This window comes from Homo sapiens, chromosome 22 (genome assembly GCF_000001405.40).
Source record: "Homo sapiens chromosome 22, GRCh38.p14 Primary Assembly".
Lineage (NCBI taxonomy): Eukaryota > Metazoa > Chordata > Mammalia > Primates > Hominidae > Homo > Homo sapiens.
This window is the reverse complement of record NC_000022.11, coordinates 45,076,917-45,089,311: the sequence shown is the minus strand read 5'-3', so window position 1 is coordinate 45,089,311 and position 12,395 is coordinate 45,076,917.

Here is a 12,395-nt window from a genome sequence, read left to right as displayed (position 1 = left end):
AAACTTACTAGGTGGAAAGAGGGAGTATAGAAATGAATGGCCTTTGGATAAAACCTTCCTCCCTTTGTGACTGGGCCACTCACCAACCCCTTAAAGTCTGTCCCCAGCTCAAGCTCAGGTGCAGCTGTCCCTGTGGAATGAGCCTCATGGGTGCTTTGAGGGCTAGACAGGGTGAGCTGGCTGTGCTGCAGGTCTTGCTCAGACCCTGGTGAACTGTCCCTGAATCCCTGTCTTGTTCATTCATCCAATATTTATTGATCACTGCCAATGCAAAACATGGCATACACAACATTCCATTGATCGACAACCTTCTGCCCCTGGTCTCCTCTCCTTATGACACGTTTGGAGCCTCTCAGCCTTGTCTCATTCCCTCTCATGCTAGGAGAACTCCAGTACTTGGCTTTGAACCTGACTGCTAGAGACAGAAACCTCAGCCAGCTATGGAGAAAGGGGGCCCTCCTCTCCTGCAGCTGCAGCAAAGCAGGTGTTATTCTGCATCATAAACCATCCTGGCCAATGTTTCCAAGAAAGAGATCTTCAGAGGTTGTTGCTATGCCCTGGGAAAGCTGCCTTCAATCTCCAAAACATCTGTAATCCTCATCAGGTTTCTTACTCAAGAAGTTGTGGCCCTGGGTAACGCTATATGTGTCAAAACCTGTTTTCTAAATTGTATATTTGGCTGGCTTCTCAGACCTCTCTTCCACCCCATCTACTAGAGTGACCTTTCTCAATTCCAAATCCGCTTAAGGCAAAGAGCTTCATCAGTGCATCCTTCTTCTCCCTGTTCACTTAAAAATAAATCACTATATACACATTTAGAAAAAGAGAGAAGACTGGCCGGGCGTGGTGGCCCACGCCTGTAATCCTAGCACTTTGGGAGGCCTAGGTGGGTGGATCACAAGGTCAGGAGATCGAGACCATCCTGGCTAACACGGTGAAACCCTGTATCTACTAAAAATACAAAAAGTTAGCCAGGCGTGGTGGCACATGCCTGTAGTCCCAGCTACTTGGGAGGCTGAGGCAGGAGAGTGGCTTGAACCCGGGAGGTAGAAGTTGCAGTGAACTGAGATTGCACCACTGCACTCCAGCCTGGGTGACAGAGACAGACTCCTCCTCAATTAAAAAAAAAAAAGAAAAAGAGAAGAGACTTTATTTCTTCTAAAGGGTTCCACCCTGCAAGGTGGCCATGGAGCAAGGTGGGAAGTATACCTCCGGCCAAGACCAGAGACAGGCTCTTTGAAGGAGGAGGGGTTGGGCCTGACCAGGCTGGCTAATCATACATATTCAACAGGTTACAGGAGGAGCTATGAATATTCATGAAGGTGTCCTGACTCATGCGTACTGAATAATCATGCACGTCACAGGTGACCCATGTTCACTTTGGGATGGAGACTCCACATTTAAATGTATTACAATCAGGCCCAAAAGATCCTTTCAGGACAGGAAGGCCTGAAAGTGCACTCTGTAAACCCGCCGGTGCCAGTCCATGGTGGGTGGCCTTCTTATCAGGAGAAAGTTACAGAAACCAGTGTCTTGTCCAGTCAAAGCTGGAATTAGGGCTGGTGGAACAGGAGGTCATTAGTTAGCATCTGGGAGCTAGATGAGTTGCAAGTGTTTGAATCTTGCTCATCTTGAGGCCAGGGCTTATTTAGCTGCTGGAGAACAAGGAAAAACCTTGTGGCAGGTAGAACCTCATTTTTTTGTTTGTTTGTTTGTTTTGTTTTTTGTTTTTTAATTTTTTTTTTTTTCGAGATGGAGCCTCACTCTGTCGCCTAGGCTGGAGTGCAATGGCATGGTCTCAGCTCACTGCAACGTCCACCTCCCGGGTTCAAGCAATTCTCCTGTCTCAGCCTCCCAAGTAGCTAGGACTACAGGCATGTGCCACCACACCCAGCTAGTTTTTATATTTTTAGTAGAGACAGGGTTTCACTATGTTGGCCAGGCTGGTCTTGAACTCTTGACCTCATGATCCATCCACTTCGGCCTCCCAAAGGGCTGGGATTACAGGCGTGAGCCACTGCACCTGGCTCCTCGTCTGTTTTTTAAGTGTAGGGGCGCAGCATTCAACCCTTGTGACCATAGGTCCTGTTTACAATTTGGTATCTTTTTGTCACAAAGAGTCTGTTCTGTCTCTCTTATGATGTCTATTCTAGCATTAATGCTGGCCAGTTGTTGTTTGTGCTGTTTGTTTGACTGGGACATACTATTTTATTTTATTTTTATTTTTTTGAGACAGAGTCTTGCTCTGTCACCAACCTGGAGTGCAGTGGCATGATCTCAGCTCACTGCAACCCCCGCCTCCCAGGTTCAAGCGATTCTCCTGCCTCAGCCTCCCGAGTAGCTGGGACTATAGGTATGTGCCACCACGCCCAGCTAATTTTTGAATTTTTAGTAGAGACGGGGTTTCACCATGTTGGACAGGCTGGTCTCAAACTCCTGACCTCATGATCCACCCACGTCAGCCTCCCAGAGTGCTGGGATTGCAAGCGTGAGCCACGTGCCCAGCCTGACTGAGACATATTAATTGGTACTTAAAAGCACTTACTATGTGCTTTAAACCATAAAAAGGAGAAAATCTGATGAGCCGTGTCTGACCTGTCCTGTCATGGCCAGGAACTCATAAGATTTCTCTGGAGTCCCCTTGGCCACAGGAGGTCCACTCAGTTGGTGGAGCACTTAGGATTTTATTTTTAGTTTACATGCCCCACAGATGTGGGGTTAGACAAAGAAAGAAAAACAGAGACTGGGTTTCGTAGCAAGGATTCACGAGCCCAGACCCATTCTGCTCTAGGAGACATTGGCAGTGTCTAGAGACATTTTTGGTTGTCACACTGGGCAGGGGGTCCTCCTGGCAGGTAGTAGGTGGAGGCCACGGATGCTGCTCACACCCTACAGAGCACAGGGCAGGCCCCACCACAGGGAGGGACGGATCCACCCTCGGGTGTCAGTAGTGGTGAAGCTGAGAAGCCTGTGATATGGTTTGGCTCCGTGTACCCACCCAAATCTCACCTCAAATTTTAATCCCCAAGTGTCGAGGGAGGGACCTGGGGGGAGGTGATTGGATCATGGGGGCAGTTTCCCCCATGCTGTTCTCATGATAATGAGTGAGTTCTCACAAGAGCTGATGGTTTAAAAGTGTGTGGCTTGGCCGGGCAAGGTGGCTCATGCTTGTGGTCCCAGCACTTTGGGAGGCCGAGGCGGGTGGATCACCTGAGGTCGGGAGTTCAAGACCAGCCTCACCACCATGGAGAAACCCCTATCTCTACTAAAAATACAAAATTAGCGGGGCATGGTGGCATGTGCCTGTAATCCCAGCTACTCAGGAGGTGGAGGCAGGAGAATCGCTTGAACCTGGGAGGCGGGGGTTGCAGTGAGCTGAGATGGCGCCATTGCACTCCAGCCTGGGCAACAAGAGTGAAACACCGTCTAAAAAAAAAAAAAAGTGTGTGTGGCTTCTTTCACCCCCCCCTTTCTCTCCTGCTGCCTTGTGAAGGAGGTACCTGCTTCCCCTTTGCCTTCTACCATGAGTGTAAGTTTCCTGAGGCCTCCCAGCCATGCAGAACAGTGAGTCAATTAAACCTCTTTTCTTTATAAATTACCCAGTCACAGGTATTCTTTATAGCAGTGTGAGAACAGACTAATACACCCTGCTCTGGGGCTGACAATCGAATCCTGGCTCTGCCTCTTCCTAGATTTGGAACATTGGGCTATTTACCTTACCTCTTTGTGCCTCAGTCTCTTGGTTTGTAAAACAGGAATAGGAATAGTACCATCCTCATGGAGTTTATTTGAGGGTCAAAATGAATGGATACATATAGAGTGCTAGAACAGGCCTAACACACAGTAAGTGCTTTTAAGTACCAATTAATCTGTCTCAGTCAAATAAACAGCACCTCCTTAGAGACAGACTCTGCTCTAGGTGGGGAGAAGATGCATAACAGTGCAGCAAACAGATGGAGCCCCTGTGCTCCTAGAGCCTGAGAGATGCTGTGGATTCCACTCAAGTCAACTAGTATGGGGCTTGTCATCCTGCCCTGAAGGCGGTTCTTTTCCAGGCTTTTTGTCTTGGTGAACTGCTTCGTCAGCCAGCTAGGTACCCTGGCCCAAAGCCCACCACACCCTCCCTTACCTGCTCCCAGCCAGTCTGTCCTCAGCTCTGTGAGAACTCCGTATCCTCACCTCTCCCATCCATCCCTTCCATTGTGATTGCCTTGGTGCAAAGTCTCCATCGTCTCTTCCCTAGACGAGTTCAACAGCTGGTCTCCTAATCACAACCCCACTATTCCCCCCAATCCATGTTCCAGAAGGAACTTTTCTTAACTGCAAATTCTCATTATCTATGAGAAAAACCAACTCTATGCTCATCTGCAGGGCCCAGGTGGCCCTACAACATCCACCCTTCTGCCTGTCCTGCCCCAGCCCTGGCCGCGCCTGCCTGCACTTAGGGTGGAAGGACCCAAGGCCTTAGACTGTCCTCAGGGAACTGAATGTCCAAGTTACCGATGGCTCACAAACAACCCTACAACTCAGCAGCTCTAAACAGCTGTTCTTTTCTTGTGAGTCTACGGCTCAGCCGGGTGGTTCTTCCATTTATGCCTGGGTTCTCTCATCAGTCTGTGGTCAGCTGCAGGTTGAGCAGGTGGCTTTGCCTAACTTGTCTGGTCTCTTTCATGCCTCTGGAGCCTAGACTGGGACAACTGGGCTGATTTGGCCCTGCTCCATGGGGTCTCTCATTCCCCAGCTGTGTGACTTTGGACAACTCCCATAACCTCTCTGAGCCTCAGAGTGAATAGTGATGTCCATCTCATGGTTAGCCAGGCTTGTTCCATGGAGGTGGCAGGGTTCTGGCAGGCTTGGAACAGACACATGGTTACTTCTTCAACACTCTGTTGGCTAAAACAAGTCATGTGGCCTACCCAGGGCAGTGCGGCAAATGGATTGTACCTCTCAAAGGGAGGACAGCAATGTTTCATTGCAAAGGGTGCAGGGAAGGGTGAAGAAATGGGACATTTCTGCCAAACACCCCACTGAGGGATCTGAGAAGAGCTGTCACTTTCTCTCCTGTCTGATTCTTTCCAAAGCTACTGTTAAGAATTATAGAGGCAAATACAGTGAGTCAATTCGTAAAACAAAAGATCATCATGGTTTCTGGGAAGAAGTTTTTGCAGTCATGACTGAGTCACTGCTGCCTGTGCAGGGGGGCAGGAGGGAACAGCTTAAGCCACCCAGAGCTGAGCATGTGGCTCTGTTTTAAGCTGACACCATGCACAGCTGTCTATGCCACTGCTCCTTTTTATTGAGCCAGTGGGTTGGAAAGGGAGCTTGGTGCCAATGTGACTAATAATTCTAAATTCTCTATGTGACAGTCATGGAGAATAAAGAGCGAGGCATCACTGTCAAAGTTTTGAAGAGCATTGCTTTGGGTATTGCTGTTGACTTTCGTGCTTCTACCGTGTGAGGTCTGGTCTCACGCCAGGCAGGGCTGAGCTCTGTGTGAACAGTATTTACTCCTACACTACCTCCTGAGATGGGCATTAGTGTTTGGTCTGAGGCTCAGAGAAGTCGTGAGACTTGTCCAAAGCCACACAGCTGAAATACAGACAGCCTGGAATGGAACTCTTGTCAGACCCCAAAGACAAGTTCTTTTTTTTCTTTTTTAGACAGAGTCTCGCTCTGTTGCCCAGGCTGGAGTGCAGTGGCGCGATCTCGGCTCACTGCAGCCTCTGCCTCCTGGGTTCAAGCAATTCTCCTGCCTCAGCCTCCCAAGTAGCTGGGACTACAGGTGTGCACCACCACGCCCGGCTAATTTTTAGTAGAGACGGGGTTTCTCTATGTTGGCCGGGATGGTCTTGATCTCCTGACCTTGTGATCCACCTGCCTTGGTCTCCCGAAGTGCTGGGATTACAGGCATGAGCCACTGTGCCTGGCCCAAAGACAGGTTCTTTAACCTCCAATGGAATGCAATTTTGTCCCACACTGGGGGCACTGGACAGAGATCCATCTATTTGCTTGGAATGCATTGTCAAGTCAGCGGAAGGGTTAATAGTATTGGGCATCTATAATGTGACAGGTCCTATTTGAGGCCAGGGAGAGACTAAGCTCTCAGAACAGGACATGCCTTCAAGAGGCCAACATTCTATGTGGGGGGAGAAAATAAATGGTTGGATGAAGCAGTTAACACAGACATTGATCCTGCTGTAAGGAGAGTGAAACTAGGTCTGTGATGGGTGAGCACCACCCAGGCGGTCCAGCTGGTGCAACCTGGGAAGGCTTCTTGGAGGCGGTGATGGGGAGCACTGAAGCTGAGGACTGACCACGAGGCGGCAGCACAGCATAGCAGGCTGCAGGGGCCAGGACCGGGTTTGCCTTCCTGGCTCCCTGATGATGTGGCTCAGCGCCTTCCGCTTCCCTCCCGCTGTTTCCTCTTGGTCTCCTTTGCTCTCAGTCTCACCCTGTCCCTGCTTTCCGTCATCTGAAATGGTGCTGCCACTCATGCAGAAGCACAAGACCTTGGGGACTGTCTTTCCCTCATCCCTAGGATTTTTATTTATTTATTTTTTGAGACAGGGTCTCACCATTGCACATGCTGGAGTGCAGTGTACTGGTGCAACCTCGACTCACTGCAACCTCTGCCTCCTGGGCTCAAGTGATTGTCCTTTCTCAGCCTCCCAAGTAGTTGAGACCATACTCAGCTAATTTTTGTATTTTTAGTAAAGACGGGGTTTCACCATGTTGCTCAGGCTGGTCTGGAACTCCTGAGCTCAGGCGATCCGCCTGCGTCGGCCTCCAAAAGTGCTGGGATCACAGGCGTGAGCCACTGCGCCCCGCCCCCTCATCCCTGGAATCTAATCCATTGAGTCCACCCGGATCCCTGACTCCCTTCGCTTCTCCCTAAACTCTGCCTCTGTCTCTGTCCAAACTACCTTCATCTCTCACCCGGGCCCCCACACCTGACTCCTCTCCCAGGCTCTGCCCTCCTGGGGCCCTCTTTGAGGCATGAACGAAATCATGTCACCCTCCTGCTTAACACCCTCCCGTGACTTCCCTCTAACTTAGGATAAAACCTGCGCAGACTCCATCCGTCCCTGCTGCTGGTTCCCCGAGCTCACTCTACACCACTGTTCTCAAGGTGTATCTATCTGTCCCTCAAACACGCTGAGCTGCCCCCTCCCTTGGCCTCTGCACCTGCTGTGCCCCCTTCCCAGCATGCCCTTCCCCCAGATGGTGCCTTTCAACGCTGCTCCTCAGAGAGGCCTTCCCTGGCCCCCAAGCCAAAGCTTCCTGGCCCTTGCTCTCCCTGACACCTATTTGAGTTTCTTCTTGGCTCCATTTCCCACTGAGGTGTGTTGTTGGCATCCTCACCCACCCCCTCGCTCTCTGTTAAACTAATAGCTCCACGAGAGCAGGCCCTGCCAGTGCTGTGCCCGGATGCACCACTGCCAGTTGTGGCCGTTCTATGATTATTTGTTGAAAGAAAAAGCAGTGGACCTCAATTTTCTCATCTGTGGAATGAGGAGTGTGCCCTGTAAGTAGTAAAATGTCATCTAAATGTTAGTCAATACAATTAAATAACCTGCCTTATGAGAGACTGTTCCATACTCAAGGAAGGACAGGTGGCACTGTCGCCCAGCGGTTAAGATTCCAAGCACATGAGCTCACAGACCTGGCTGAGTCTCCACTTCATCTATCATAAGAGGTGTGACCTTGGTCCGGCCATTTAACCTCTGTAAGCCTCAGATTAAAAAGTAGAGATGGGGCCGGGCGCGGTGGCTCACGCCTGTAATCCCAGCACTTTGGGAGGCCGAGGCAGGTGGATCACGAGGTCAGGAGATCGAGACCATCCTGGCTAACACGGTGAAACCCCGTCACTACTAAAAATACAAAAAATTAGCCGGGCATGGTGGTAGGTGCCTGTAGTCCCAGCTACTCAGGAGCCTGAGGCAGGAGAATGGCGTGAACCCGGGAGGCGGAGCTTGCAGCGAGCTAAAATCGCGCCACTGCACTCCAGCCTGGGCGACAGAGCAAGACTCCGTCTCAAAAAAAAAGTAGAGATGGGGCAGGGCATGGTGGCTCATGCCTATAATCCCAGCAATTTGGGAGGCTGAGGCAGAAGGATCGCTTGAGTCCAGGAGTTCAAGACTAGCCTGGGCAACATAGTGAGACCCTGTCTGTACAAAAAAAAAATTTTTTTTAATGGCCAGGAGTGGTGGTTCGTGCCTGTAATCCCAGCACGTTGGGAGGCTGAGGCAAGTGGATTACCTGAGGTCAGGAGTTCAAGACCAGCCTGCCCAATATGGTGAAACCCTGTCTCTATCAAAAATACAAAAAATTAGCTGGGCATGGTGGCGGGCACCTGTAATTCCAGCTACTCAGGAGGCTGAGCCAGGAGAATCACTTGAACCCGGGAGGTGGAGGTTGCAGTAAGCCGAGATTGTGCCATTGCACTGGACCCTGGGCAACAAGAGCAAAACTCTGTCTCAAAAATAAATAAATAAATAAAAATTAAAAATTAAAAAAATTACCAGGTATGGTGGCGCATGCCTGTAATCCTAGCTACTTGGGAGGCTGAGGTGGATGGATCACTTGAGCTCAGGAGGTCGAGGCTGCAGTGAGCTGTGTTTGCGACACTGCACTCAGCTTGGGCTACAGAGCAAGAACCAGTCTCAAAAAAAAAGTAGAGACGATAACAGTCGCTTCCAGAATTGTTCTGGGAATTGAATAAGCAAATGTATGTAAAGCACTTGGCATAGTCCTTGGCACAAGGTAAATTCTTAAGATGCTATAGCTAGTATTATTTCATTATTGTTATGATGATGATGATGATGGTGATGATGATGATGGTGATGATGATGATGATGATGATGATGATGATGATGATGGTGATGATGGTGATGACGGTGATGATGATGGTGATGATGGTGATGATGATGATGGTGATGATGATGATGGTGATGATAATGATGATGATGATGGTGATGATGGTGATGATGATGGTGATGGTGATGAGGATGGTGATGATGATGATGATGATGATGGTGATGATGATGATGGTGATGGTTTGGGTCTACAGAGGCGGCAAAGCTGAGGATGTCTCCATGAGATGGTGGCATTTGATCTTAACCTTGGACAGCTGGATGGATCAGAAGCTATTTCATTATCAGAACAATGGGCAGTAATGCTGCTGTCAGTTGTCTGGTATCCACCACAGGCCAGAAGCAGGGAGGTCGTATCACCATCTTACAGACAAATACATGGAGACTTGGAGTGTTTAAGTAATTTGCCCAGTGGCAGAACAGGGACCGTTCCTGGGCCCGTGCTGTTCCCACATGTGAACATTTTCCATTTGGTGATTTGCCTTCCTCCAGACTGGAAGCTGTCAGAGGCAAGGCTGGCCCACTCCGTTGTTTGCAGGACTGGTGTCCACATGTCCTCAGTGGCTGTGTGCTGAGCGGAAGAACTGGGCCCCCCTGGAGCTTCGTCACCATCCACATCACTCTGAGGCTCTGTTTCTCCATTTGTCAAATGGTCATGATGATATCTACCCCCCAGAGTGGCTGTGAGAAGAAAGTCAGATCATGGTTATGAAGATGGCTAGTACGGGGTGTGTGTGTGTGTGTGTGAGAGAGAGAGAGAGAGAGAGAGAGAGAGAGAAAGAGAGAAAGAGAGAGAAGACTGGAAGAGAGAAAAACTGGAGCAAGGCTGGACTGTGGAGGGCCAGGTGCCATGAGCCTCCAGCACTTTGCACTTGAGCCTGTTGGCAACGAGGAGTCCCCACAGTTTTTAGAATTGAGGTATAGCATACACACTGTAAAGTGTGTAAACTGCCTCACTCTTAAATTGACACGTCCATGACTTTTCACGTATGTGTTCACCCATCAATTGTCATCAGCTCACAATGTAGAACATTTCCAGCACCTAGAAAGACTGCTCCTCCTCTTTCCCCCTCAACCACCCTCCCCACAAAAGGCAGCCGCTATTCTGACCACTGCCACCATTGATTGCTTTGGCTTGTTTTGTACTTTCTGCAAATGGAATCATGCCGTCTGCTCTCTTCTGGACTGCCTTTTTTTTTTTTTTTTTTGAGACAGAGTTTTGCTCTTTTTTGCCCAGGCTGGAGTGCAATGGTGCAATCTTGGCTCATTGCAACCTCCGCCTCCCGGGTTCACGCCATTCTCCTGCCTCAGCCTCCTGAGTAGCTGGGATTACAGGTGCCCGCCACCATGCCCGGCTAATTTTTTGTATTTTTAGTAGAGACGGGGTTTCACCATCTTGGCCAGGCTGGTCGCAAACTCCTGACCTCAGGTGATCCACCTGCCTCAGCCTCCCAAAGTGCTGGGATTACAGGTGTGAGCCACCGCGCCCGGCCTGAGCTGCCTTCTTTTGCTTGTCACGGCATCTGGGAGATCCATCCAGTTTTTTGCATGCAACCGTCGAGCGTTCTTTTGTATTTCTGCATAATGTTCCATTATATGGGTGTATCACACTTTATTTTTCCATCGATAGGCATTGAGTTTCCTTTCTTGTCTATTTTAAATAAAACTGCTATGAACATACTTGCGTCCGTCTTTTTGTGAACGTATGTGCTCACTTCTCTTGTGGAAAAAACACCCGAGTGGAATTGCTGGGTCATGGGCTAGGCATATGTTCAACTTTAGTAGATATTTTCAAACGCTTTTCCAAAGTGGTTGAACTGCTTTTATGCTCACGCCAGCAGTGTGTGAGAGTCCCAGGGGGTGACAGAGCCAGTCTCTAGCAGCTCCTGGGAGTGGATTTGGGGATTAGAAATGGAGAGAGACAGTGGTGGTCTGCATGGGGGACTGGCACATGGGGACCGCCCCGAGGGTGGCTCCATCCGCTTTGCTGAAAGCCTCCTGGGACCATGCTTACAGAAACCTGAAACCCATGGATGCTTCTCCCACCACAGTCAGAGCCCCACCTGCCCCAAGGTGACAAACGCCCAGTCACACCCCTGGGAAATTCTGCTTCCAGAGGTCTGGGGTGCGGATGTAGCCTCAGATACCGAAAAAGCAATGCATGTGGTTTTGTGCACAACTGCAGGGCTCTGACGCCGGTTAAACCCGCGGGCCGCCAGCCCCACTCCATCCTCTCTCTTTTCTGAGGCCGGTTAAACCCGCGGGCCGCCAGCCCCGCTCCATCCTCTCTCTGTGCCAATGGAGAACTGGGAACTTGCGCAGCCTCTCCCTCCCCAGTCCAGGAGTGCGGTGGCTGGACTTGGGCTGCCTGATGACGCTTGGTCTGCCCGCCTCAGTCTCCCCCGGCTCCACACTCCCAGCTTCCCTCGGCACCACCTGCTCCCAGGCCCACTCTGCATCACTGCTCCCGTTTTTCACACGAGGAGGCTGAGGCTTGGAGGCGGAGCTTGTCCCACTACCCCGCTGGTCCAGGGCAGAGCTGGACCACAGCTTCTAAGCTGGAGGCCTTCCGCTGCCCTGCGTGGGGCTTGTCCCCGTGCCCCCTGCTTTGATGGGAGCATGAGTTCTGCCCTGCACACTCTCTGCCTTCTCTGCTCCTGGTGATGTGGGAGCCCCTGGGGTCACGGCGTGGCTTCAGCATCTCAGACTGACCACAGTCCAGGCTGTGGCCACCGATTGACTTGAGTGAGACCCAAAGGGACTGGAGAAGGGCTCCAAAGCTAACTGGGGTTGGGGAGACTGTTGACCCAGGTGGGAGGGCAGGAGGGGCTTCCCTGGCGCTGGGACTGCCCCACCCCTCTGTCCACCGTCTGCGCCTGGGACGGGGGCCAGCGGAGCAGCTTCTCAGGCGGCTCCGTCAGCTCTTTCCTCCGCAGGGAACCACACTGCAGTGATTGTTAATCCCCACTCATGTGAAGGAGACAAATTAAAACCACCGTCAGGCTGCACAAGCGGCTGGAGCCAAGAACACAGCAGCGTAGGGCATTTCCAGATGGCTGTGAGGGGAGAGGGGACAGCGGCACAGACAGTGGACCTGGAAGGGGCCTTCTGAGCATCTCATCCGGGGATGACATCACAGCAGAGGACGCTGAGATGCAAGGAAAGGAGTCTCAAGGGCTCTAGGTGGGACCGGACACAACGAGACTGGGATGTTCCCCAAGACCTTGGAGCTCCAACACTCTCCACTTTTCCGTCCCTGGTACCCAGACACCAAGCCCAGGTGACATCTACTGCATCTCAGAAATGCAGAGTGAGGGGACCATGCCCTTAGTGGACCTGCTGAGGCTGCTTCCAACCACAAGCTAGCTCATCATCATCAGTGTCCTGTGGTGCAACCTCCCAGCCACACTGTCCCCGTGGCCCATCCTCCCAGCCACACAGTGTCCTGTGGTCCTTCCTCCTCTCCCACCCTATGTCATGCGCAGAGATAAAATGCAGGTAGACAACTACAAAGATCTATGT